At 33.3% G+C, this 23,356-nt stretch overlaps 1 protein-coding gene and 1 long non-coding RNA gene across 13 annotated transcripts in view; one reads left to right on the top strand and one right to left on the bottom strand.

Moving 5' to 3' along the window:
• CPEB2 (cytoplasmic polyadenylation element binding protein 2) overlaps positions 1–23,356 on the bottom strand; it is a 67,671-nt gene that overhangs the window by 25,137 nt on the left and 19,178 nt on the right. For 6 of the 12 annotated variants that reach the window (XM_005248135.4, NM_001177381.2, NM_001177382.2 and 3 more), the window contains 2 exons: positions 11,804–11,854; positions 4,528–4,551 (listed from right to left, as the gene is read on the bottom strand). In XM_005248135.4, coding sequence (XP_005248192.2) covers positions 4,528–4,551; positions 11,804–11,854 — 75 coding nt within the window. Of the gene's footprint in view, positions 1–4,527; positions 4,552–11,803; positions 11,855–17,482; positions 17,574–23,356 lie in introns of those variants that run through there. The other 6 variants (XM_011513777.4, NM_001177384.2, NM_182485.3 and 3 more) reach the window with 3 other exon arrangements.
• The window catches only part of C1QTNF7-AS1 (C1QTNF7 antisense RNA 1), a 422,973-nt gene that overhangs the window by 382,900 nt on the left and 16,717 nt on the right, over positions 1–23,356 (top strand). The gene's annotated exons all lie outside the window — the stretch shown is intronic.

Below are 23,356 nucleotides of genomic sequence, written 5' to 3'. Positions count from 1 at the left end.
GAACCCTACCTACAAATGCAAGTATAATAGCTTACATTAAGTTTGCTACCTAAAATGTATAATTTTAAAGGCAAAATAGTAGTTATAATAAAGATTATAGATGAATGAAGTAATAAGAGAAGGAAGAGCAAAACGAGAATAATGGCTATCCCCTATGGTCTCTGGTCTCCGTGTGTGTGTAGGTGTATGTGCGGCACACATCCATGTATGTTAGAGAAGTTATAGGTGGTTACTAACTCTGACACTGGGCGCTATGCTAATGTTACCAAACATTAATTTAAAAAACTATCAAAACAACAGAAGTATATTTCAGATTGATCTATTTTCAGCATTATCTGTTTAATCAAATACACTCGGGTATGATTCTGCAAATAACTGAGAAAGGCACCATAATGTACACACTAACGGCTTAAAAATGTTTTGCTCCAATAGGTTTGTACCTTTCTCATTAAGGATAAAGAAGATAATTTACTTAAAAAATTTATAATCTATGACCTTATATGTCTTTGTAAATTTTATTTAATTTCTAGATATATATGCTTTAAAATTAGGTTTACTAAAATTTGTTTTCTATAAAAATTCATATTGCTGGGTATAGGTGTAGAGCAGACACTACCAGTCTCTTAAAGGTTAGGAAAGGGAGGTCAGCAAATTTTTTTCTTTAAAGGGTCAGTATTAAATATAATATTTTACATTTTGAAGACCAGACATTTTCTGTTGGAATTACTCAACTGTGCTATCATTGTAGTTTCAAGGCAGCCAGACAAAAGTCAATGAATAAATACTGGCTGCATTTCAATAAAACTTTGTTTACAAAAACAGAAGCCTTGGCCTGCGGGCCATGGTTTCCTGACCCCTGTATTAGTGTTACCCCAGCTTTTTTTTCATGCTTCAGAGATCTTGCCCACTCTCTCACAATTATTGAAGTTATTTATCAAGGATTTCAGCCTTGATTTCATCATAAAAATATCTGGCAGTGATGTTATTAGGGAGTGTACAGTTACCCTGGGTACTTCACAATTGTTCCAAATTGAAAATCCTGGATCAACTTCAAAGCAGTATACTATATTATTAATAATTCCTTATTTATTATAGCACGTAAGTCTGAATGACTATACACTATGAATAAATCAAACTTCTCTAATTAACCTTTCCATCATTTGTCTCCCTTTAAAATTATTTCTCCTATCTTCTCATCCCATATGTAATCTACTAACTCAAGCTCTGGGTTTCCTTGCTTAAAAGGATTGCCTTCCGGGTCTTAGAACCATTAACTAAACTACGTTTTTATTTATATTACTAAAAATATTCTATATATTTTTATTCCTTTTGGAACACAGTAGCCCTTTAATCCTTTATTAAAGGAACTTATTGTGCTATAGAAATAGTTTAAGTTGAAAGGATCGAACTTAAATTACACTTCACGCCTCCCTTCACAACCCTCATCCTACTTCAATCCTGGACAAGTATGTTCACTCTCAGAATGGAATGGAAGAAACAATGAATAAAAAATAAATACAAATGATAAGTAGTTTTCCATATATTAAAGTCAGCTCCCCATATGAACCGTTTTCCTTCCTAATGCTGCCCCCTAGGCAGCTCTAAAGTAGAACTCTTTATGGCTACCAGGGGATAGAGATACACAGTAGTGATAGTAGGTTCCAACTAAAAAGCAGGGACAGAAATCTCTGCTTTTCTTAACTACTACTAGCATAATTACATTTTGATTATTCCTAAAGTATATTTCATAAATTAATATCTGGAGCTAGCTTTATTTAAAGTTCTTATTGACATTATTAAGAAATTCAAGTACATAAAGTCATTTTGGTAGTAACTTGATTTGACTGTAGTCAAGTGAGAAATCTTTTAAATGAAAACAGTTTCGTGCCTGGGCTGAAAGAAGAAAAACAGTTCTTCCTGAACAGGACTACAAAAGTCAAAGTCAGAATGTCCTGTGAAAATAACTGTTCACCCATTATTGCACTGGTAGAAGAGCCATGACTTATTTTTAGCAAAAATTATATCAACTCAGTGTGACACATCCGACATGAACAGAAGATAAGCAACTCATTTTTCACAAAATAATTACTAAATAAATGCAGTTTCTTTGATGGATCAAATCTAACACATGAGGCTATATAAAAGGGGGTGTTTGGTGGTTAAAAGGTTATCAGTCTGAGGTTTATTATACCTAGCATGGAATAGGAAAAAACAGTAAAAAATAGGAAGAAAACCAGGTGACTAGCCATTTCTGAGTCATTCCTTTGGTATGCAGGTTTTAAAAAAATTGCATTACTTACCGTTTCAGTGTACTTTAAAATTCAGATAAAATCTCTCAGTAGTTATTTCTAATGAGTGTGCCTTTCACGTGACTCTCACAATCAAAATTTTAAAAGTAGACTGCTAGTGTTCATAATTTACTAAGGCCATATAATTTGAGATGAAAATTCAGGCATTCACTCCCCCTTATGCTAAGCCAAATATGTATGCCAACCATCAGTTCTGTCGTAATGGAAGCTTTTATCAGAAGCCTTAAAACCATGTGAGAGTCTTCCTTCTTCCAATGCAGGAAGGCAGTTCTGAAGCCGAATAAGTCTTTATGGCTTACGGGGGATAGAGATATATAGGAATGATAGCTGGTTCCTATATAAAAGCAGGGAAAAAAATTTTGTTTTTTCTTAATATAATCATAATCTACAATTATTGAACTGAGATGAAGACAAATAATAACATTACTTCCTAATACCTTGTTCCTAAGAACTTCTTAGGTCATGATATTTACATGAGAGCATACGAAATTAGACTAAATGTAAGTCACAACAGGTAAAAGATGAAAAATGTTTAACAAGGCAAGAATTCTGAATTGCTCTATAGTTTCAAAATGCCTAAAAATCACAGACTGGTAAGTGGGTTGTGTTTCAGAGAACTGAAGCTCCATTACTAAAATTGCATAGTGAAATAAGCTAGTCCATAGATTTGAAAATAGGTACTAAACTTCTAAACTGCTCCCCCCTTCTCAGCTTGCTAAGTTTTTAGAAAAGTTGTTCAGCTTCAATTTTTTAAGTCTTGAGTGTCTGTCTCCTCTAAGTTTTTAGTTAGAAAACTGAAGAACCAAAAGATTCAGTCAAGCATTTGAAAAAACCATATTAAAAAATTAAGTTAAATTCAGATAATCTGAAATATAAAATTGGGACCACTTAAGAATATAAAATACTAGTTTTGGTTGTCAGTCGTGGCAAATGGTTTTGCTTGTTTGTTGTTTAAAAAGTACACACATTCATGACTAGTTGAAAAGAAATGGAAGCACTGGCACATGTCTATAGGTGGCTCATGCCTGTAATCCCAGCACTTTGGGAGGCCGAGGTGGGCAGATCACCTGAGGTCAGGAATTCAAGACCAGACGGGCCAACATGGAGAAACTCCATCTCTACTAAAAATAAAAAATTTAGCTGGGTGTGGTGGCACATGCCTGTAATCCCAGCTACTTGGGAGGATGAGGTAGGAGAATTGCTTGAATCCGGGAAGCAGAGGTTGTGGTGAGCCGAGATCGCGCCACTGCACTCCAGCCTGGGCAACAAGAGCGAAACTCCGTCTCAAAAAAAAAAAAAAGTGATCAAAGGGCACTATTATTCCTGTCTATCCTCTATGGCTTAAGGGAGATTTTTAGAGGTCAAAGAAAACTCTTTTTATTCGGTGTGGCACTTGGAATAAGCCTAACAATATAAACATCATGATTATTGCTCATTTAAAGAACAATCTAGTAGCATACTTTTGCTTCCTCTCATCCCATCTACTAGTCTGCACATGGAAAAGGGAGAAGCAAAGTTTTAGCCACAGAAAACATCAGCTACTTTCCTAGGAAGTTCAATAATAGTCTTGCATCACATAGTCCTCTTTCCTTAGGATACCACACAAGAACTCTGTGGGGAATACTTTTGTGGGGGAGGGAAAGGAAAAAGGAAAGGGGAGAAGGTATGTGTTTGTGTGTGTGTGTGAGAGACAGAAAGGGAAAGAAGGGGTTATATTCTTAGAAAACAGAGAAATATAAGCAACATGATTTCTATAAATCACTGTTAAAAATAATCTATTTGGTGTGTGTTATTTTCAACTGGGTCAACATAAAACTAACAATCTAGAGCTGTAAATTATACATCATAAATATGACAGTTACACATTTAGAGAGCAGAAAAATCATACTTCATGCTAACTTCACTAATATTAAACATATTTAAGCAGACAAACCATAAACAGCAGCTTTATTTTAAGAGATACAGAAGTAACTTTAAAAACTAGAGTTAAATCTCAGCAGTTTAAAAGGGGAAAATTTATTAAATAACCACAATTAGTATAAAAATACAGTTCAAAGGTTAGGAGATTTAAAATTAAAAACTTCGACAAGTGCTCAAATCAAAATACAATTGTGTGAGTTTTCAGATATTGCATGAAAAATCTAGAGTAATTAATTACAACATTGATCAGTAAACCCCATTAGAAACAATTATACCATAGCAAACAGAAATGAATTACCTCGTCTTCGCCCATAACTCCTTGCTGCATGTAAACAAAGCACAAATTGTAAAATGTCAGAACTAAAAATAAGCCCACATATACAAATATTTCTGATACGAAAAGCTATGTGGGCATCTGAAAATTAGTGCTACTTTGTTTTAAGAGCAATGACAATGTCACCATATAAGATTTAAATGTTTTACCATTCTACAAAGGACTTTTATTTATAGGTAAATATATATCATCTGAATCATATAAAACTCTGAAATTAACAAGAAACACACATTTCATTATCATTTGTGTTAAAATTCACAAGTATTTGTTTCAGCTAATGAAGACAGAAATATACAACACTTTGCGGTAAATAGCATCCCAAATAATTTTCCCAATGAATGGAAACAACTTGAACTAAATGCTTATTTTTTCTACTTATTATAAAGAATGGTATGGCATATATAGTCCAATAAATAGCTGTTCAGATCCAATCTACATTATACCAAGTCCTGCATGGAAGTAGTGCTAGAAGACACAGATGACTGAGAAGATATACCACCATTAAACTGATACTCTGAAGCCTGTACAGATTAGACAGGATTTAAGAAATCAATGTTAAACTTGTTTAGAGAAATTACTATAGCTAATAATGCTTTCTATCACTTTAATATATGTTATAACAGCTATCTACTAATTGTTTATGTGTCTACCTATGAGGTAAGAGGGATTCAGATACAAATTACTATTAACAAAATCATGGAATAGTACATATGTTAAATACCATAAAAGTATATAGGCATTTCTATCTATGTTACTTGCAGTGACATAATTCCTATGGAAAAAAAAAAGACTGTAATTTCTTTTTCATAAGAAACTACTAGTTTGATAAAATCCACAAATTGTTTTAAAAGAACTCCTCCCCACAAATTTGAATACACAATGAGTATTTTTACCCTGAAATTAATATATGAAGTCAAGGCAGTAAACAAACAAAGACTGTTAAAATTAAGATCTTATTTTAAATTCACAGATTTTTTTAGGCCTGGAAAAAATTCAATATTGAATAAATCTTAAGTAAAAATATGTGCTGAAAGTTGCCAGAAATGTCTACCTAAAAATATAAAACTTAAAGATCAAAAGAAAACATTTCACATTATGAAATATACTTTTATTTTATGCTAATGCTTTACTACAAGGAAGTGTGTCTGTAACACACTAGTTCCTCTAATATAAAGTGGGAAAAACAAACTTGTCAACTCTCAGTCATTTAAATTCTAAGAAAAAAGTCAATCACTATAAGGCTTATATCAGACCCTTTCATATAAAATAACTTCATTTGCATCGCTGCCATTGTAGTGTCTTTATTTAGCTTGTAATCTGTTGCACACTTAACCTATCCTTGAGCTCCAATGACCCCAAAGTCTGGCAGATCTATTTTATAGCTTACCTGACCTATATATTATTTCTCCTCTCCTCAGATAGGAGTGAAAGTAGCACTTAGTATTTTGTTGTCTAGGTCTTCTAAACATAAAAGTTTTTAAAAAGCTCTAAGTGATGGGAGATCAACTGAAAAATCAGACTGATGCAATAAATTTTAATAGAGTGATCAAGAATAGACTATGGAGCTACACACGGGTGGTCATGCCTGTAATCCCAGCACTTTGGGAAGCTGAGGCGGGTGGATCACCTGAGTCCAGGAGTTGGAGACCAGCCTGACCAATATGGTGAAACCTCGTCTCTACTAAAAATACAAAAATTAGCCGGGCGTGGTGGCAGGCACCTGTAGTCCCAGCTACTCATGAGGCTGAGACAGGAGAGTTGCTTGAACCCTGGAGGCAGAGGTTGCAGGTAGATGAGATAGCGCCACTGCAATCCAGCCTGGGAGACAGAACGAGACTCCGTCTCAAAGAAAAAAAAAAAAAAAAAGAATAGACTACAGAAGAGTGAATAGTTGTATTAAGCCTAGAAATGGTCAACAGTCCCCAAAACACTTCACAGGATGTGAAGGGCTTCCTGCTTATCCCTGGGCATAGCCTAATGGTATTAATCCAGTATAAATTTGCTCTGGAAAATTTCATTCATAGGTGTAGAGAATTGAACATTTACAAAGCAAATAAAAATATTTTCATCAAGTTTAAAGTCAAATGATAAATTATGATGTCATAATGTCACAATTATTGACCTATTGAGAAAATTAATGATATCATAGCCAGTTTATGTTCTTAGCTGAGGCTACTCAATACTAAAATGGTAAAAATATGTATAAATTTCATAGCATCTTAAGTTTTCATTCCTTGGCTTGAATATAATCACTTAGAAAATTTCTCCAACTATCTCATACCTGAGGAATTTTAGAATCCTGTAAAGAGCTATTCTACTTATTTTTTGGGCAACTCTCAGATTCCAAGTATCTACATTACCAAAAATAGAACTGACTACAGATGAAGCTAAACCATGTGAAATATTTCCTATTCCCTGTTATGGAAATAACTAATCTGCCACCATCACACTAAACAATGGTGTGTGTATTCACTTTCCTACCAATATTTCTATGTGAATTTCTGGAGTATGTTCCATTATAACTCTTAATCAGAATTATGAGAAATACCTACCTATTAAGAAAAAAACTAAGTGACTTATGTTTTTAAAAAGACTTTTAATAACAATATGTCCTTCAAACTCATTTAGAAAATGATTTTTAAAAGGAAAAACTTGTATAAAAATGAAGAACACTTATGAAGTGTTGTAAAAACAACATGAGGAGCTATTTAACATACCTGTTGATGTGTATATGCACAGGTATGTTAAACATATATTACTGACACATGTGTGTCCTTATTTATTTAAAAATAAGAAGGCTTTGAGAAAAGCCTGAAGACAAGCGACTTTACAATTTTGGTTCTGGTTTCCAAATCGTCTTATTAAGGATCTAATCCATAGCTACAAAAAACAAAAACAGGATGATTCTAATATTCTGACTAGAAACTGTGTAGGGTCATATGTATTGGCTCTCAGCTACAGTTGTGGTAACTTGAATTACTGCAACTAGAGGAAGGGATAGGCATACACATTAAATTAGCTGGAAATACAGGTTAAAGTTCTCTTGATGAGGAAACTAAAGACATTTTTATTTTTTTCAATGTGAAAAAGCCAAAACTAAGGAGAGAACCATGCTACTAAATCACAGTCTTTTTTTTTTTTGAGGCGGAGTCTTGCTCTGTCGCCCAGGCTGGAGTGCAGTGGCGCAGTCTCAGCTCACTGCATCACTGCAAGCTCCAACTCCCGGGGTTCACGCCACTCTCCTGCCTCAGCTCCCGAGTAGCTGGGACTACAGGCACCCACCACCACACCCAGCTAATTTTTTTGTATTTTTAGTAGAGACGGGGTTTCACCGTGTTAGCCAGGATGGTCTCGATCTCCTGACCTCGTGATCTGCCTGCCTCGGCCTCCCAAAGTGCTAGGATTACAGGCGTGAGCCATTGCGCCCGGGCCCTAAATGATAGTCCTTTTCAAGACCCAAAAGAAAGCTTATCTCCTCCACTCATTCCACTGGCATAAAAGAAAAAAAGAACTGATGGCTACCCCACTTTCCCATTTTTATGACTGAATAGATACAAGTTAGAGCATCTGCCTTCAGAAATACAATTACTGACTTAATTTTCTTAATTAAATGATACTCATAACTTTTTTCCTCTCAAAAAGTACAGTAAGCTCTTTATGACATACATAGCTGTATGTGGGTTATCACAGCAAATTTACATTTCTAACTAGCTTGCTAATACCATTCCCACTCCCCCTCCTGGCCACCAATACTTCTGCTCTATTTGTTTCTCTTGAAAAACGTTACGTACTAATAAAAACGTAAGCTATTTTCCTTGAGAAAGGGGTAAAGAAGATATAATTCAAATATTAATACAAATACTTGAATGATACATCATTTTGTATTGCTCTTTACTACTATGGAAGGCAGGGTTTTTTTTTAAACTACTGATAATAAAAAGTGTTTAGGATTTATACATTTAGAAATATAAACATACATACTTTCATTCTAATTTCAGAAGTACTTCACCTTTGGTTTTAAAACAATCTACACAATTCTATATAATGTGACTTCCCTAAAGTGCTTCTGGATGCTAAATACGGACTCTTCAACATATTTGAATTCTTCAATAGTGACAGTCTCCAGCAGTCAATTCAACTTAATTTGGGGAATATGGTCTGTTCGGAAGGAGACTGCTTGTAGTTATATTTATATGGTTTTTTTATTGTTTAAATTAAAAAATATCTCTACAGCCTCATGAGATATACAGGTATTTATTGTATTACACCTCTTTTTTAAAAAATATATATCTGAGTTAACAGATGCTTAGAGTTAAGGATTTGCCAGAGACACTTCATAGTTTTACTGAATTTGACCAACTTCCTGGCTTTTATCCCATTTTCTCTTTATTTCTTACTTAAAGGAATATTGAAAAGATTAACCATAACTGCTGATTAACTATTAAGGTAGAATCATAAAATCTTTACAGGTATGTTTACAGATATATTTGCCATATCGGCCCAACAATTGTAACAGTATGTTTTATTAAAGAAACTCAAGCCTAGCATCACTGTCAGCTTTCTGTCAGTTCTGCATTTTCTAAGGAATGTTCTTTAATTGCAACAGTCATGCATTTATTTTAATGTGTATCTGTGTACATCAAAATCATCTTGGGTACTCCAAGGAGCAACAGCATCACACTTTAGGAAACAGTGCCTCAGAGAGTTATTTTACTTTTTTGGGGGGTTATTTTACCTAAACTTTGTCCCAAGATAGTTTCTAACAAATAGTTCTAGTTTGGCTTTCTGCAACAACACAAAATGGGCCATCTTTGTTGGCTACTTATAATATACTTCAAATAGTTTAAAATATCAGTTATGTTTTCTCTTAAGTTTATATTCTCCAACATAGACATATCCAACTTCATGTATTTATAGGACATGATTTTTACTCTTTCAAATAAATTTTTGTCACTGTTCACCATCACCCACTACTTAGCTAACATTTACTTCCAGAAGCTGCTCTAAATACTTTACATGAATGAATTCACTCACTTCTCAGAACAGTCCCCCTGAGTCAGGCAGTATGCTAATCTCTATTTTAGACATAAACAAACTGAGTCAAAGTGAAGTGAGGTAAGCTGTTCAAGGTTACACAGATAGAAAAAGCCAACCTGGGTTTAAACTCAGATAATCTGGCTCCAGAATCTATGTTAGCAACCACTATGAGCTAGCTACTATTACACCACTACAAAAAAAAAGAAAAAAAGACTGATGCAAAATTTATTACTAAACACTGATTTTTAAAGCTAACAATATTAGCTCTGCCTGTCAGTTAAGTAATTCAACTTACTTAACCAAATGCCTCAAAGTGAGTTAAATGTGTAATACTTAAAAACTTTCATAATTCAAAAAGTAGATCTACGTACTATGAGATACAATTTCTTTAATCAGTCAATAACATTTAATAAATACTTAGTACAGGAGCACTAATATCACTTAATTCTCACATTTCCCAGGAAGACAATATGCTAAGAATATAGCTGAATTGCACGTAGTTAAAAAATAGCTCAAGAAAAACATCCCCTTACCTATTAGTACCTTTCTTGGCCTAGTTCTCTCTTCAGTAACCCTGGTGTCTACTAAAATTATTTAAATCCCTAATATTCAAGACTTCTTTAACCCACAAATATTCCCGATTATGTTGTGACTTCTTTAACCCACAAATATTCCCAATTATTTTGCTTCACTCTCAACCAATGATCCGAAAAAAGTTTTAAAAAAAATTCTCTTTGGATCAAATTGTTTCTTTTCCTGATGTAAACACATTTTCATGTCCTAGTTTCATTATCTTTTTCTCCCCGCTAGTACCTTGCCAGAAAAAGTTCAGAATTTCCAGGCTGGCTTCCTGTACTGAGTATGCATTGTGGCCCCAAATGACTACTAAGACTACTCACATAATACACAAAGCCGACTTGTCCACAAGATGCAACTCTTGCCTGAAATAAAATACTCTTCTTTCTGCCATGTGATGAAACACTTTTCAACCTAACATCTAGATTATTTATAAGGGCTTTTCCCAACTGACAAAATCATCCATTAGTTTAATAATGTTTAGTATAACTAATAATGTAAGTTGCAAATACACTGTGGCTACTAAGCTCTTTGCTTCCACATGACTCAGTATGGCCCCAGGCAATTCTGACCACAACCATCCTGTAGGATTCTCACTAATTAGATAACCGAGTGCTTAGACTAGACTGGCATGCGCTAGACAACTAAACAGTGAAATACTGAATGATTAAATCAATCACCTCATCTAATGCTCTGCCTTCTTCAATTTTTCTCATTGAGAATCCTACTTACCCTGACCATCTCCTACGTGGCCTGGACTTTATTTCCATCCTTCTGTCTTAATATTAGTTCACATAGTCTAGCTTCACATGTACCTTATTTTCAGTCTTTGTTCCTCAACTTCATTGCCATCTTATTTCAGCAAACCTTCAGTTGAAATACAAGAGCCAAGCCATTCTAATGATATTTTTTTAAAGTAAATATTAATACTATTTCTATTCTTTCCCCTTCCTATTTCCCTCTCCACACCCACCCTCTGACTTAAAAATACTCCTGTGAAGGATATTTTAATCTTCCATCTCTACTCCCACAATCACGGAAGTGCTAAGTACTGAGACTCTGAATATGTTAATGTTTGTCTAACAGAAAGAAAACTAACTTTAATGAAATTTATTTATTATTTTCCTTACTTTGGTGAACTTCTCTATGTAAGCTTTCTAGTTTGAGTAAGTTTAGTGTGATCACAATATTTATAGAGTTACCAGTATATTCCTTATTTAACCACAAACACAATGCTATACTAAGTAACAAGTTCTATGCCTTTGCAAACATTTCATTTAAATCTCACAATAAACCTTGAGACTATATTCTCATTACAGAGATGGGGAAACTAAGGTAATAGTAATCTGTCCAAGGTCATACCTGAAACTGGAAAGGCAATATTCAAACCAGGACTGCCTCCAAGTCCGTGATCACTGAATTAAAGTCATACTGTTACAAATGGCTGCTTTACCAGCCCGAACACACTCAGATTCCTAATTCTGCCTTTTGCATAGGAATAGTTGTAACTTTATTTTTATGCTCATAGAATGATTAAATTGTGTGTATGGACAGGTTCAGAGAAACATGTATTAAATCATCTTTACATAAATCAACTGGAAACATAAAATGTTTTTATAAAACTTACCATTTAACATCAACAGATTGTCAGTTCCTGGATGTGGATAGCTCAATCGACCTTTAAAAAGACAGGAAAGGTGAGTTTGAAGATTATGGAGTTATTTGAAAAGCAAAAACAAAAAAACAAAAAACAACAACAAAGGCAGCATAAAGAGAAAATTATTGAGCACAGTATATTTCTTAAGAACTAAAAAGCTTATGTTCAACTAAAAGTATATTAACTAAAATTATCTTTGGAAGTTGAAAGCAAAACAAAAAGTTAACCTTAGTTCCTAGATCATAAGAATACAATGTGATTTGGGAGCAATGCCAATAGAATAAAGCTTATTTATTTTTGGAATGTAAAAACAATATATCTATCATATCCTAGTCTTGCAAATTTAATATGAAATGTGAATTTTTAAATTTTTTCAAAGTTGTTTGTAATTTTATCTATAGATCTGTCAAAAATAAAACTTGAGAGAATTTCATATTCCTAAATCAAAAACAATTAAAATGTTAAAATAAAAAATAAGCAGAAAAATTCATCTCAACTTGCCAATGTGGCTTTATAAAGTCATATTTAAATAAATTAGTTTAATGAAAACATCTTATATTACAAATATTATTGAAAATTTAACTTCTTCAAAGTTTATAAATGATTAAAAATATAAAAAAAATTAAAGCTGATGAGTATAGTGGCATAGTATTTCCTCTGAGTCATTCTTCATTCGAAAGTTTTTTATTTACTAAATGCAGAAGGGACAACAGTATTACAAACTGCTGTGGAGAAGAAAAAAGGTATGCATGAAACATTCTGTGGTTTATCCAGCATTTTTACATCATAACACTTATTTGATAAATGCCAATAGCAAGGATGACCATTATTTTTAGTCTATATTATAAAATACAGGATTTTTCTCAAATTCCTAAATCTCTAATAGACTATTAGAATAGTACATTAAAACCCATTTAGAGGCTGGGCATGGTGGCTCATGCTTGTAGTCCCACCTAGCTGGGAGGTAGAAAAAGGAAGATCACTTGAGCCCAGGAGTTTGAGCATGTAGTGAGCTATGACTGTGCCAATGCACTCCGGCCTGAGCAACAGGGCAAGACCCTGTCTCTCAACAAATGAAAAAAAATTTTTTTAACTGATTTGAAAAATGTCTAAAAATTAAATGTCTGGGATTACATTTTAGTAATTTTCAGCACAGTCCCTTTAAAAACAAAATAATATGCTAGCACACAAGTAAGGAGTACAGATGAACTGCATCTACCTTTACCACCTCAGCAAGTCCTCTACAGATTAACTGCATCTACCTTTACCACCTCAGCAAGCCCTCTACACTCTACAGGCCCACATGTAAGATGGAGATTGTCGGTTGGATTTTGTTTCAGTTATGAAATTAAAGAGTTTGATCATCTACTAATGCAAGAGTAAGTGGCAAAAATAATCCAATTTTGACACTAAAATACATAAATATATATGATAGGTACCCAAACATGTTTCCTGTACATACATATACACACTTCACCTGAGATCTAAGTTAACTATGGAATATTTTGATTTCAGACTCAACACAGGTAAAATAAGTGTTATCAAAAGGATTATCTACCATCTCTTATTTACTCCTGCATTTTATGCAGCATGACATGAGTTAACTAAATGACCTCTTAAATAAAGTTGTCATACTCTAAAACATACAAGTAAATTTCTTGTTGTGATACCTTGGTATGAGTGAGAAATAGAAGCATACATATGGGAAGTACACAATCAACAGCCAGGAAGCACAGCTTTCCTAAACTGCACTTCAGTAACACGGAACATTACTTTGAAGTATTATAGCTTATTTTGGAAATATGCCTATTTCTAAACATCTTGCTGCAGATGGCCAAATTTGGAGAACAGTTTAAGGCCATGAATAAATTACTGTTATTTCTGACTTAAGATTTAAAAAAAAAAAACAAACTCCTACAAAATGGCAACCTGTATCACTGTTCAGCATAATAAGTTAATTAAATCTACGATACTGACAGTGTGTAGGATGCAGAGCATGTAAACATGAGTGGGACATAGTCTTATGATGTGGTAGGGGAGATAGACACAAATATACAATTTCAATAAAATATGCTAGGTGCTAAAAGAGTTATGTATAGAATGCTATATAAAAAAACACAACAGAGTATATAGTAATCAGGCCCAGGGATTAAGGCAAGACTTCCTGGGAAAGTAAATTAAGCAAAGCCTTAACATGAAGCCTAGTTCCACCTTGAAAGATCCTCAACTTTCAATTGTCACATAATTACTCTAATAGGTTCCTGTTCATTTATTTATCCCAAGATACAGGTAATAAAATAGTTTCACTGCTAATAGTCTTTTGATATTATGGCTCTGAATAGACTTTTAAAAGGCACACTTTTTGTGGAAAGTTTAAAAAACATAACTATTTGCAAAGGAACATATATTGTATACATATGTATACATATTATAAATACTACAGCTCGCTACCTAAGAAAATCTCTCAATGTAAGTAATAACATACTCCAAAATGAAATAAGCAAATTTAGACTCATTTTTAAAGATGAGTCTTTTTCTCTACCACAGTGGAAACATTAATGCATCTTCATAGGTTAACTTTTAAAGTTAAGTTTTACTTAGGGTATTATTAAAAGTACTTTCGCTAAAAACCTGCCAATTGATAGTAAGAACTAACAGCATTTGAGGCTATACTCTGAGCCAGGAGCTTTTCTATGTTCTTTACAACCAATTACTTAATCCTAAGAACGATCCTATGAGTTAGGTATTATTATCTTCCCATTTTAAGATGACAACACTATATCACAAAAAGTTAAATAGGTAAGTTGCCCAAGGTTATACCACTGGCAGGTAGCACTGGCAGAACCTGAACCTAAGCAGTTTGGCTCCATACTCTTAATCGCTATCTTAATAATTACTTTATATTGACAACATAAAGGTATACATGGTTGGTTGTAGGACAATTTTATCTCTTAAAAAATTCACAGAATATTCTATAGTATATTTCATAATTTAAGATTTAATATAGAAAAAATAGAAAAAAAACCACATTACTATAAAACTAATTTCTCCTTATTGTTTAAAAGACCTGTGGTGCAGTGACTGATAGATGTACACTAATAACTACCTGTTCCTGTCAATAATAGGGTCATCAAAGCTAGACAGATACAGAGCTTCCCAGAGTAAAAAACAAAAAACCAAAAAACTACATACATAGCCCAGCCTTCTTGTAGGTAAGTGTACCCCTGCATGTAAGATCTGGCCAATGGGATATAAAGTGAAAGTGGTACGTGCAATTTCTGGGAAGTACTGTATCCTTAAAAGGGAAGACCTTCCTTTTCTCTTTCTTGCTTGCTGAAATGCTGATGTGATAGCTAAAGTGAAGAGACCATATTAGACCATAAGGCAAAAACTGTGTTTTCAGGATAATAGAAGAATGAGATAAAAAGGAGCTTCAATCCATGAAAATCACCATACTACTCTAGAAGTGTTAATGTTTCTGGTAAGGGAAACAAACTTCTATCTTACTCAAGCCACTTAGGAGTTTTCTGTTGTCCCTAATGAACCTAAGCTTACAAACAAAGTCATCTAGTAATAAACCTGGGCAAATTAAATTTTAGGTAACCAGGCAATTGCTTATTAATTATTGTGAAAATATGATAATTTCATAATGGTTTAATATATCAATAAAGAGTATACACTAGCTCTTGACACGGCTCCTTTCACATTAAGATACTATGAAATTTAAAATAAGTAATTTAAAAAATATATGTATTTTTGGGTATCAGTGAATAACTAGAGGATCTATCGTATCTTAAAAATTTTCTTATTCGTCTATTACGATTTTAAATAGTAATTTGTATATAACATATACAGTCGGCCCTCTGTGTCTGGGGCTTCTGCATTCATGGGATTCAACCAAGAAATTATATTGAAAATATAATTCCTGATCAAAAATACTCAGGAAAAAAAAATTCCAAAATGTTCCAGAAAGCAAAGCTTGAATCTGATGTGCACCAAGTATGATACGACATTGAATCCGCACAAATGTGATGTCTAGGCACTTAGGTATTATAAGTAATCTAGAGACGATTTAAAGTACACAACAAGATGTGCACAGGTTATAGGCAAAAACTACATCATTTTACATAAGGGACTTGAGCATTGCCGATCTTGGTATCTCTGGGTGGTCCTGGAACTAGCCCCAGTGGTTACCAAGTGACAACTGTATAAAAAAGCCTTACTTCATGTTAGCCACTTTAAATGTATTATCTGAGCAACTAAAAATACTAAGAAATATGACAACTGTATAAAACTTATCACTTCTTTAGAGAAATTACCAGATTACATTTGGAACAAATATCTGGTCCCTGATTCTCTACCATTTTTGCTACACTGATCTCTGCTGTTCCTCAAACATGCCAGGTAATCCCTTTTCAGGATCTTCCTACTTCCTTTTTTTTCTGCTTGAAATACATTTGCCCAGATACGACCAAAGCTTGCACCTCTCACTTCATTCAGGTCTTTAAGAGATAGCATGACAGACTATCCTGTCTAAAATAGCAGCTTCTTTCTCTATCCCCTTGATAGTATATTTTTTCTGCATAGTACTGATTATCATCTAACATTTTCTGTCTCTATACTTCTTTAAAACAGAAGATCCATGAAGGCAGTAACTTAGTCTCTCTTACTCTCTAGCATATAAAACAAAGCGTAGCATATAATAGGCTCTCAAATATTTGTTGAATGGATAAATCAAATATTTCATTCTACTATGTAAACTATGGACTGAATCAAAAACACAAATACCTTAACATGTGTTTGTATGTGTGGCATAGGGAGGATATTCTCTAAGAAAATGAAAAAAAAAAATCATAGAACAAGACTTTTTTTTCAGCTTATTTCTAAATCTCTTACATATTGAAGTTGTGGGGAGAGATATTGCAAAAGTCCTGCTTATTGCTCTTTGCCAAGATAAATTTTTCCCTTCTCTAAACTATTTTTTCTTTAATGAGTTAATAGAGGAAATGAACTCCAAAGCCCTAATATTCAGTTGATGATGCTAACTCACTCTTCAGTGATGAGAACATAGCTAAAGAACAATGCCATGTGCTCTGCCAATTGTTTCTAAAAGAAAAATAAACATTTAAATCACATTAGAATCATAAAGAGTTTAGGTTAGAATTAGCAACAGATCAAAAGGGAGACACTATGGTGCAGTGGTTAAACGCACAAACTCAAAGCTACCAAGTTCCACCACTTACTAGCAGTTGAAATGCAGACAATTATTAAGAATAAGCCATAGTCATCCAACTGTAAAATAAGGGTAAATATCTACCTCTTAGTCATGCAAATTAAATGAGTTAATACATATATGTAGAGTCCTCAAGAACAATGCTTAGCTGTATCAACTGTTCAATAAATGATATGTATGGTATGTTATATACTGTATGTGTTTATTAAACACACAATACACACATACCCTTAATAGAAGATATCTAATACTTCTTAATTAAGTGCTTTAAATAAAGCATTGCCCCAACTCATTTGACAGACTCTTCCAATATTGTTTTCATAATCTACATTTTACCTTTACTTCCAAATCCAATTAGGAAAAAAAGGTTCATTTGAAGTCTGGTAAAATCCACTTAGAATGTGGTCATTACCAACCTTGAATAACTCCAATCTCTGCTCAGATCCAAGGGGCAGGACAGTCATTCCTGACCACACTCCCAAATTTCAATGCATGCCTCATAAAAGCCTAAGAATAAGATCATACAAACGCAGAAAAGACCCTTAGATCCAAAGTACCAGATCCGAAGAGAGCAACAGAATCATTCCTTACCTACATCTAATAAAAGCCATCAATCTACTTTAGATTCAACTGAAATTAATCTAGTTAATGCATTCAAATCAAAATCCTATCATAAATTTTTTGGCCTAATCATATTTTAAGACTTTTACCCAATTAATACTAGAAAATTTACCAAGAAACACCAAAGAACATAGAATACCAAAAAGTTTTGATTCAAGAAAATGGTAATCCCAAAAGACAATAATAATAAAAGACAAAACTTAAGTCATTAATCATTTAGTAAGATAATATATTATCATATACCTATAAGAGTGGTACTAATTCAGATATATTCAACTAATATTAAAGTCAAGTTGAGTTAATGGTTGCAAAACTTTTCACTGTTAAAAGGGTTTTAAACAAAAGTAATGCTGATAACCAGTAGGAATAGCAAATGGGCAACAAAATATTGCCAGTGGAACTGGTATAAAGCAAACCTAGGTTGGCAATATTATGTTTACAGCCTCAGAAACAAGCATATGAAGTTTGTGCTATGAAAATAAACACAGAAAAAGCTAATTCAATTTTATTTAAAAATTTGAAATACCTAAATGTTCAACTATACCAGAATGGTTATACAAACTATTTTACATGTATAGATACAATATACAGGAATTCTTTAAAGTTCTAAATCAATATTTTGAAGAGTATGAATTATGAGAAAATGCTTAATCATTTAACCAATAATTTACTGGGCTCCTCCTATTTGTTTGACATCATGATAGATGCTGATTCAAGGTAAAGCAAAAACACAAGTGGCCATTGCTCCCATGACACAGTCTTATGTGAAAGATTATGTGAAAGATATATATTAAAAAAATAGTTCGGGCATGGTGGCTCAGGCCTGTAATCCCAAGCATTTTGGGAGACCCAGGCGGGTGGATCATGAGGTCAGGAGATCAAGACCATCCTGGCTAACATGGTGAAACCCCATCTCTACTAAAAATACAAAAAATTAGCCGGGTGTGGTGGCATGTGCTTCTAGTCCCAGTTACTTGGGAAGCTGAGGCAGGACAATCGCTTGAACCCAGGAGGTGGAGGTTGCAGTGAGCCAAGATCACGCCACTGCACTCCAGCCTGGGTGACAGAGCAAGACTCCATCTCAAAAAACAAAAACAAAAACAAAAACAAACAATTGAATCTAAAATAAGAAAAGTGCTCTGATTAAAAAGAAACTTGATTCTCTATAAATCTTTAACACAAAAGTAATCTACCCTTGATAGGGGTGCCAAAGAGTCTTTATGATGAGGTAGAAATTGACTAGAGATTAGAGACTGCCAACTGAACATGAAGGACTGAATACACGTGTTCACCTCTGTTGCTTTCCGAAATCCCTAACGTGGCAGTTAAAAAGATTTGAAAGAGGTGTCTCAAAGAAAACAAAAAGATTTTTAAAGAGGCATAACCCCATTAGGATAAAGACACTAGAACAGGATCATAAAACAACTAAGTCATCAAATTTCTGGGAACTGTAAATGTGAATGGTTGAATGGTAACTAACTTTGTAGACCAGAAATCACTGAAACACAAACCTAAGCCGTGTATACATGGGGAATGCCATCAAGTAACACTCCATTTACTGTAGTACACACCTGGATAGGTTCAGAAATCAGAAGCTCTGGTTATAACTGTGTGTAAAAGTCGGGTACAACTAAAAACAGAAGGTTTAAGATTGCTTGTTAGTTTTTAAAAGAACCCTCCTGGGTTCATCTAAGAAGTCTAGCAGCTAGGCCTACAGCTCACAAGCAGAAGACTAGAAGACCCACATCCATGTTCATTTGCCAGAACAAAAGAAAAGACCTAGACACAGGCATGGTGAGGGTCTCACCTGATTGACTTATTACAATCATTACTAGTTGATAATTTCAACTATATACATTGAGCTTCCAATCCCCATTTTTTGTGTCTTACTTTTAAATATGAATAGACAGTAAAAGATGAAGCCCCCAACATGAGAAAAAAAGAGAACACAAACAAATAAAAAAGAACTTTGAAGAAGCACAGACAATATAAGGAACTGGGAAAATAATCTTCAAACACTATAATAGCCTCCAGAGAAATAAGATCAAACAACAAGAATAAGATGTAATTGAAAGTTCTGAGAATTTTTTTAAAGGAGGTTTTAAAAATTAGCAAAAATTTTTAAAACAAAAAACTCAAGATTTGAAAAATAAACATAAGCTCTTGAAATGCAAAACAAGAGACAAAACAATGGAAAACAGAAAAGAAAAACAGATGATGACTATACAACATTTAACATTTGAGGAACAGGAATTCCAAAAAGAGGTAATATTAAAAAATGGGAGGCAGGCATGGTGGCTCATGCCTGTAATCCCAGCACTTTGGAAGGCTGAAGCGGGCAGATCACAAAGTCAGGAGTTCGAGACCAGCTTGGCCAAACACAGTGAAACCCCGTCTCTACTGAAAATACAAAAATTAGCCAGGCCTGGTGGTGGACACCTGTAATCCCAGCTACTTGGGAGGCTGAGGCAGGAGAATCACTTGAACCCGGGAGGCAAAGGTTGCAGTGAGCCAAGATCACGCCACTGCACTCCAGCCTGGACAACAGTGCAAGACTCCCATCTCAAAAAAAAAAAAAAAAAAATTATCAAAGAAATAATATCCCAAAATTCCAAGAACTGAAGATATAAATCTCTGAATTAAAAGGGTCCAATGAAGGTACAGCTTAATAAATTAAAAAATGAAGGCAGGAAGGAAGGTACGTATGCACATACACATTCCAAGATACACATTTCATTACTATGAAACTGCAGAACCACAGGCATGAAAAATAACCTAAAAGCTTCCAGAAAGAAAAACAACAAAAAAATAAAGTAAGAAATCAAGGCAATCATACAAATGAACAGGATTCAGAATGATGCCACACTTAAAGCAATACTGGAGGTTAAAATATCATACCTTCAATATTCTAAATTGCTAATATATAATTCCATAGTGACTTATCATATTATATAGGTAGAAACATTATGTTTTAATACATATAGTGTCTCAAAATGTATGTCCCATTAGCAGGAAGGTAATACAGGTCCAACAAATCAAAGAAAAACAAAGGTGTAAGTCATTAAAGAAAGGACATGGGGATTAGGACATGGATTCCACAGAAAAAAAGGAATTCCTAGGATTATGGAAGTCCCAAAATGACTGCTATATAGGACTGCAATAATGAAAAAAAACAATCTGGATGATAATTTGATGCGTTTGTATGTATTGAAAGAAGCTTTACAGTCTATGGATAAATACTGGGATGAATTAATGATAAATACTTAGAAAACTAAGCAAATAAACTAAAAAAGATAATGATTAATTCCAGGAAAAAGAAAGCTTTATGAAAAAGAAAATGTTACATTACAGTACAAAACATACAAGGTTCATCTATGAATATTATTTGCCTTATCTCAGTAATACAATCCCTGACTTAAACAAAAGTGCTCTTATCATTTTGGAGGACAGAGTAGGGGAAATATTGAAGGATATTAAGTCATATTAGAATATCAACATACAACACCTAAAATGTAGGAAATATAGGAGCACAAGCATATTATTTACAAATAATTACATAATCAGTTCAAAAAAAAAAAGCTCATAGTGGCTACCAGTAAGGAGCAGGAATCTGAAGTGGACAGACAAGGAGGAGGAAGGAGACTTCTATTTTTTCATTATATAAGACTTATAGCACTACTAGACTTTCAAAATTATGTAAATATATTTTTAAACTAATTTTTTAAAAAAGTTAACCAGGTTGGATGGAAGGCAAAGATTTAATTACTGCAAATATTTTAAGTTTATAAATAGAGAATGAAAAGACTGGAAAAATTATACACCAAAATATCAATTATGATTATTTTAGTTTGTGAGATAAGTGATGATTTTAAAACTTGTTTCTCCTAGTGTTTCCACATTTTCTTTAATAAATGAATACTATTTTTTTTGTAACAGGAAAACAAACACTTTAAAAAGGATAAAATGCTATCATTTTGGAGAAAAAACCTTCAAAAGAAATTCTTTGATATATCTTCAAATACTATAAGTAGTTAAAATGCATAAGCCTAATTATTCCAATTACTTGCTTTTATCACTGCAAGTTATATATAGGAAACATTCTTTTTGTTGTTCTACTTTCCATTTAAAACAAGTGATATAAACATTTTTCAAATCATATGAAAGATGTTTTGTGGTGAGTAACAGGATTGCAGTAAGCACATATATGTTCTGAATAAATAAATGTGATTTTAATAAAATTCATTGTAGTTTCTGATGGGTTTTAGTTTTTAACAAAAAAATTTCAGTCTGTCATAATTTAAATCATTTACCTAAATATTCAAAGATGCTTGGAAGAAATAAAACTCAAGTATGTTTTAATAAGTTTGTAATAAAGGCAACTATGTAAAAAGGAATAAAAGCAAAACTTATCTCCATCCATGATGTCATATTTCAAATGTTTTTTTAAAACAAAAACTTTCACAACCACATTTTTATCATTTCCTTTTCAATCTATAGATATTCTCAATTACCAGTCAAACTCATAAATTGTACTTTCACTAAGATGAACAATTCTTAGTAGTGGAAGGGTCAAGTATTAAGATTCCATGTACGTTATAAGAGTAATCACCTCTTAAAGTCAGAATATGTTTAATAAAATACATATGGCTGCTATATAAATACAATTTACTCCAAAAGTTAATAATTTTTTTTCCTATCAAAGGCCAGGAGTCTATAGAATGAAGAAACGAAAAATCAACAAAGGAAAAAGAATGTCAATTCTACTTACTCCTTTTTGAAATAAATGGAAACATTTCATTTAAAACTGAATGCATATATATATTAGATACATAGATATGTATCTAATATATGTGATTTTCTTCTATACTCTTTTTTGTTATTGGCAATTTTAAAACTTTCAACTTCAGGAAAACACCAGTGGCTGAAGAAAAAGTAAACTCAGTTTTGAGAAATGCACCCCTTTTTCTCTGTCAGGGGAAATAAGGAAGAGTCCTGTAAGAGCAGATGACATTCCTGCTTTGGCATGTATATTATTGGTATTTGTTTTATTTTGTACTTTATTTTAATAAATGCCATTAAACTTTCACAGCTTTTTAAAGATCTCTTTACCATTGCTCTCTTATACCAGAGTTTCTCCAGGTGTGTTCTACACCCCACACGAACTACACCACTTCTAGGGTGGGCCCTGAAAACCACATGGTTGACACAGTCTCAGTGTCTGAGAACCTCTGTCTGGCTCGACAGTTCTTAAATTCTAAATATAAGTTCTCACAATGGAGACTTTTAGAAATTTATACAAGTTATTTTGTGACTTGGTATTGTAATCTTATATTAAGGTCAGCTGAAGAGAAAGAGAGGGAAAAGTGGAAGAAAATAAGCAATTTGGTACTACCATAATCAGTCAGCACCTTACAGGAATAACTCCTTATTTTCTCAGGGCTTATATGCCCTAAAATAAACAGAGCTTCTTACTTCAGGAGTCTTAAAAAATAGGAGTTTAGCAATCAGGTAATAAAAATGACACTAGATATACAAAAACTTAGTAAATAAGTTTTAAAGGCATCCACTTCTAGACATTTCTTGGTGTAAAATCATATTCTAAATTCTTTTTCCTTAATTCCCTTTAACTGCTCATGAAACACTGGTAAAGGCATTACGACTTACTGACA

Source organism: Homo sapiens, chromosome 4, assembly GCF_000001405.40.
Source record: "Homo sapiens chromosome 4, GRCh38.p14 Primary Assembly".
Lineage (NCBI taxonomy): Eukaryota > Metazoa > Chordata > Mammalia > Primates > Hominidae > Homo > Homo sapiens.
The sequence above is the reverse complement of the archived record's forward strand: the minus strand, read 5'-3'. Positions and strand labels throughout refer to the sequence as shown.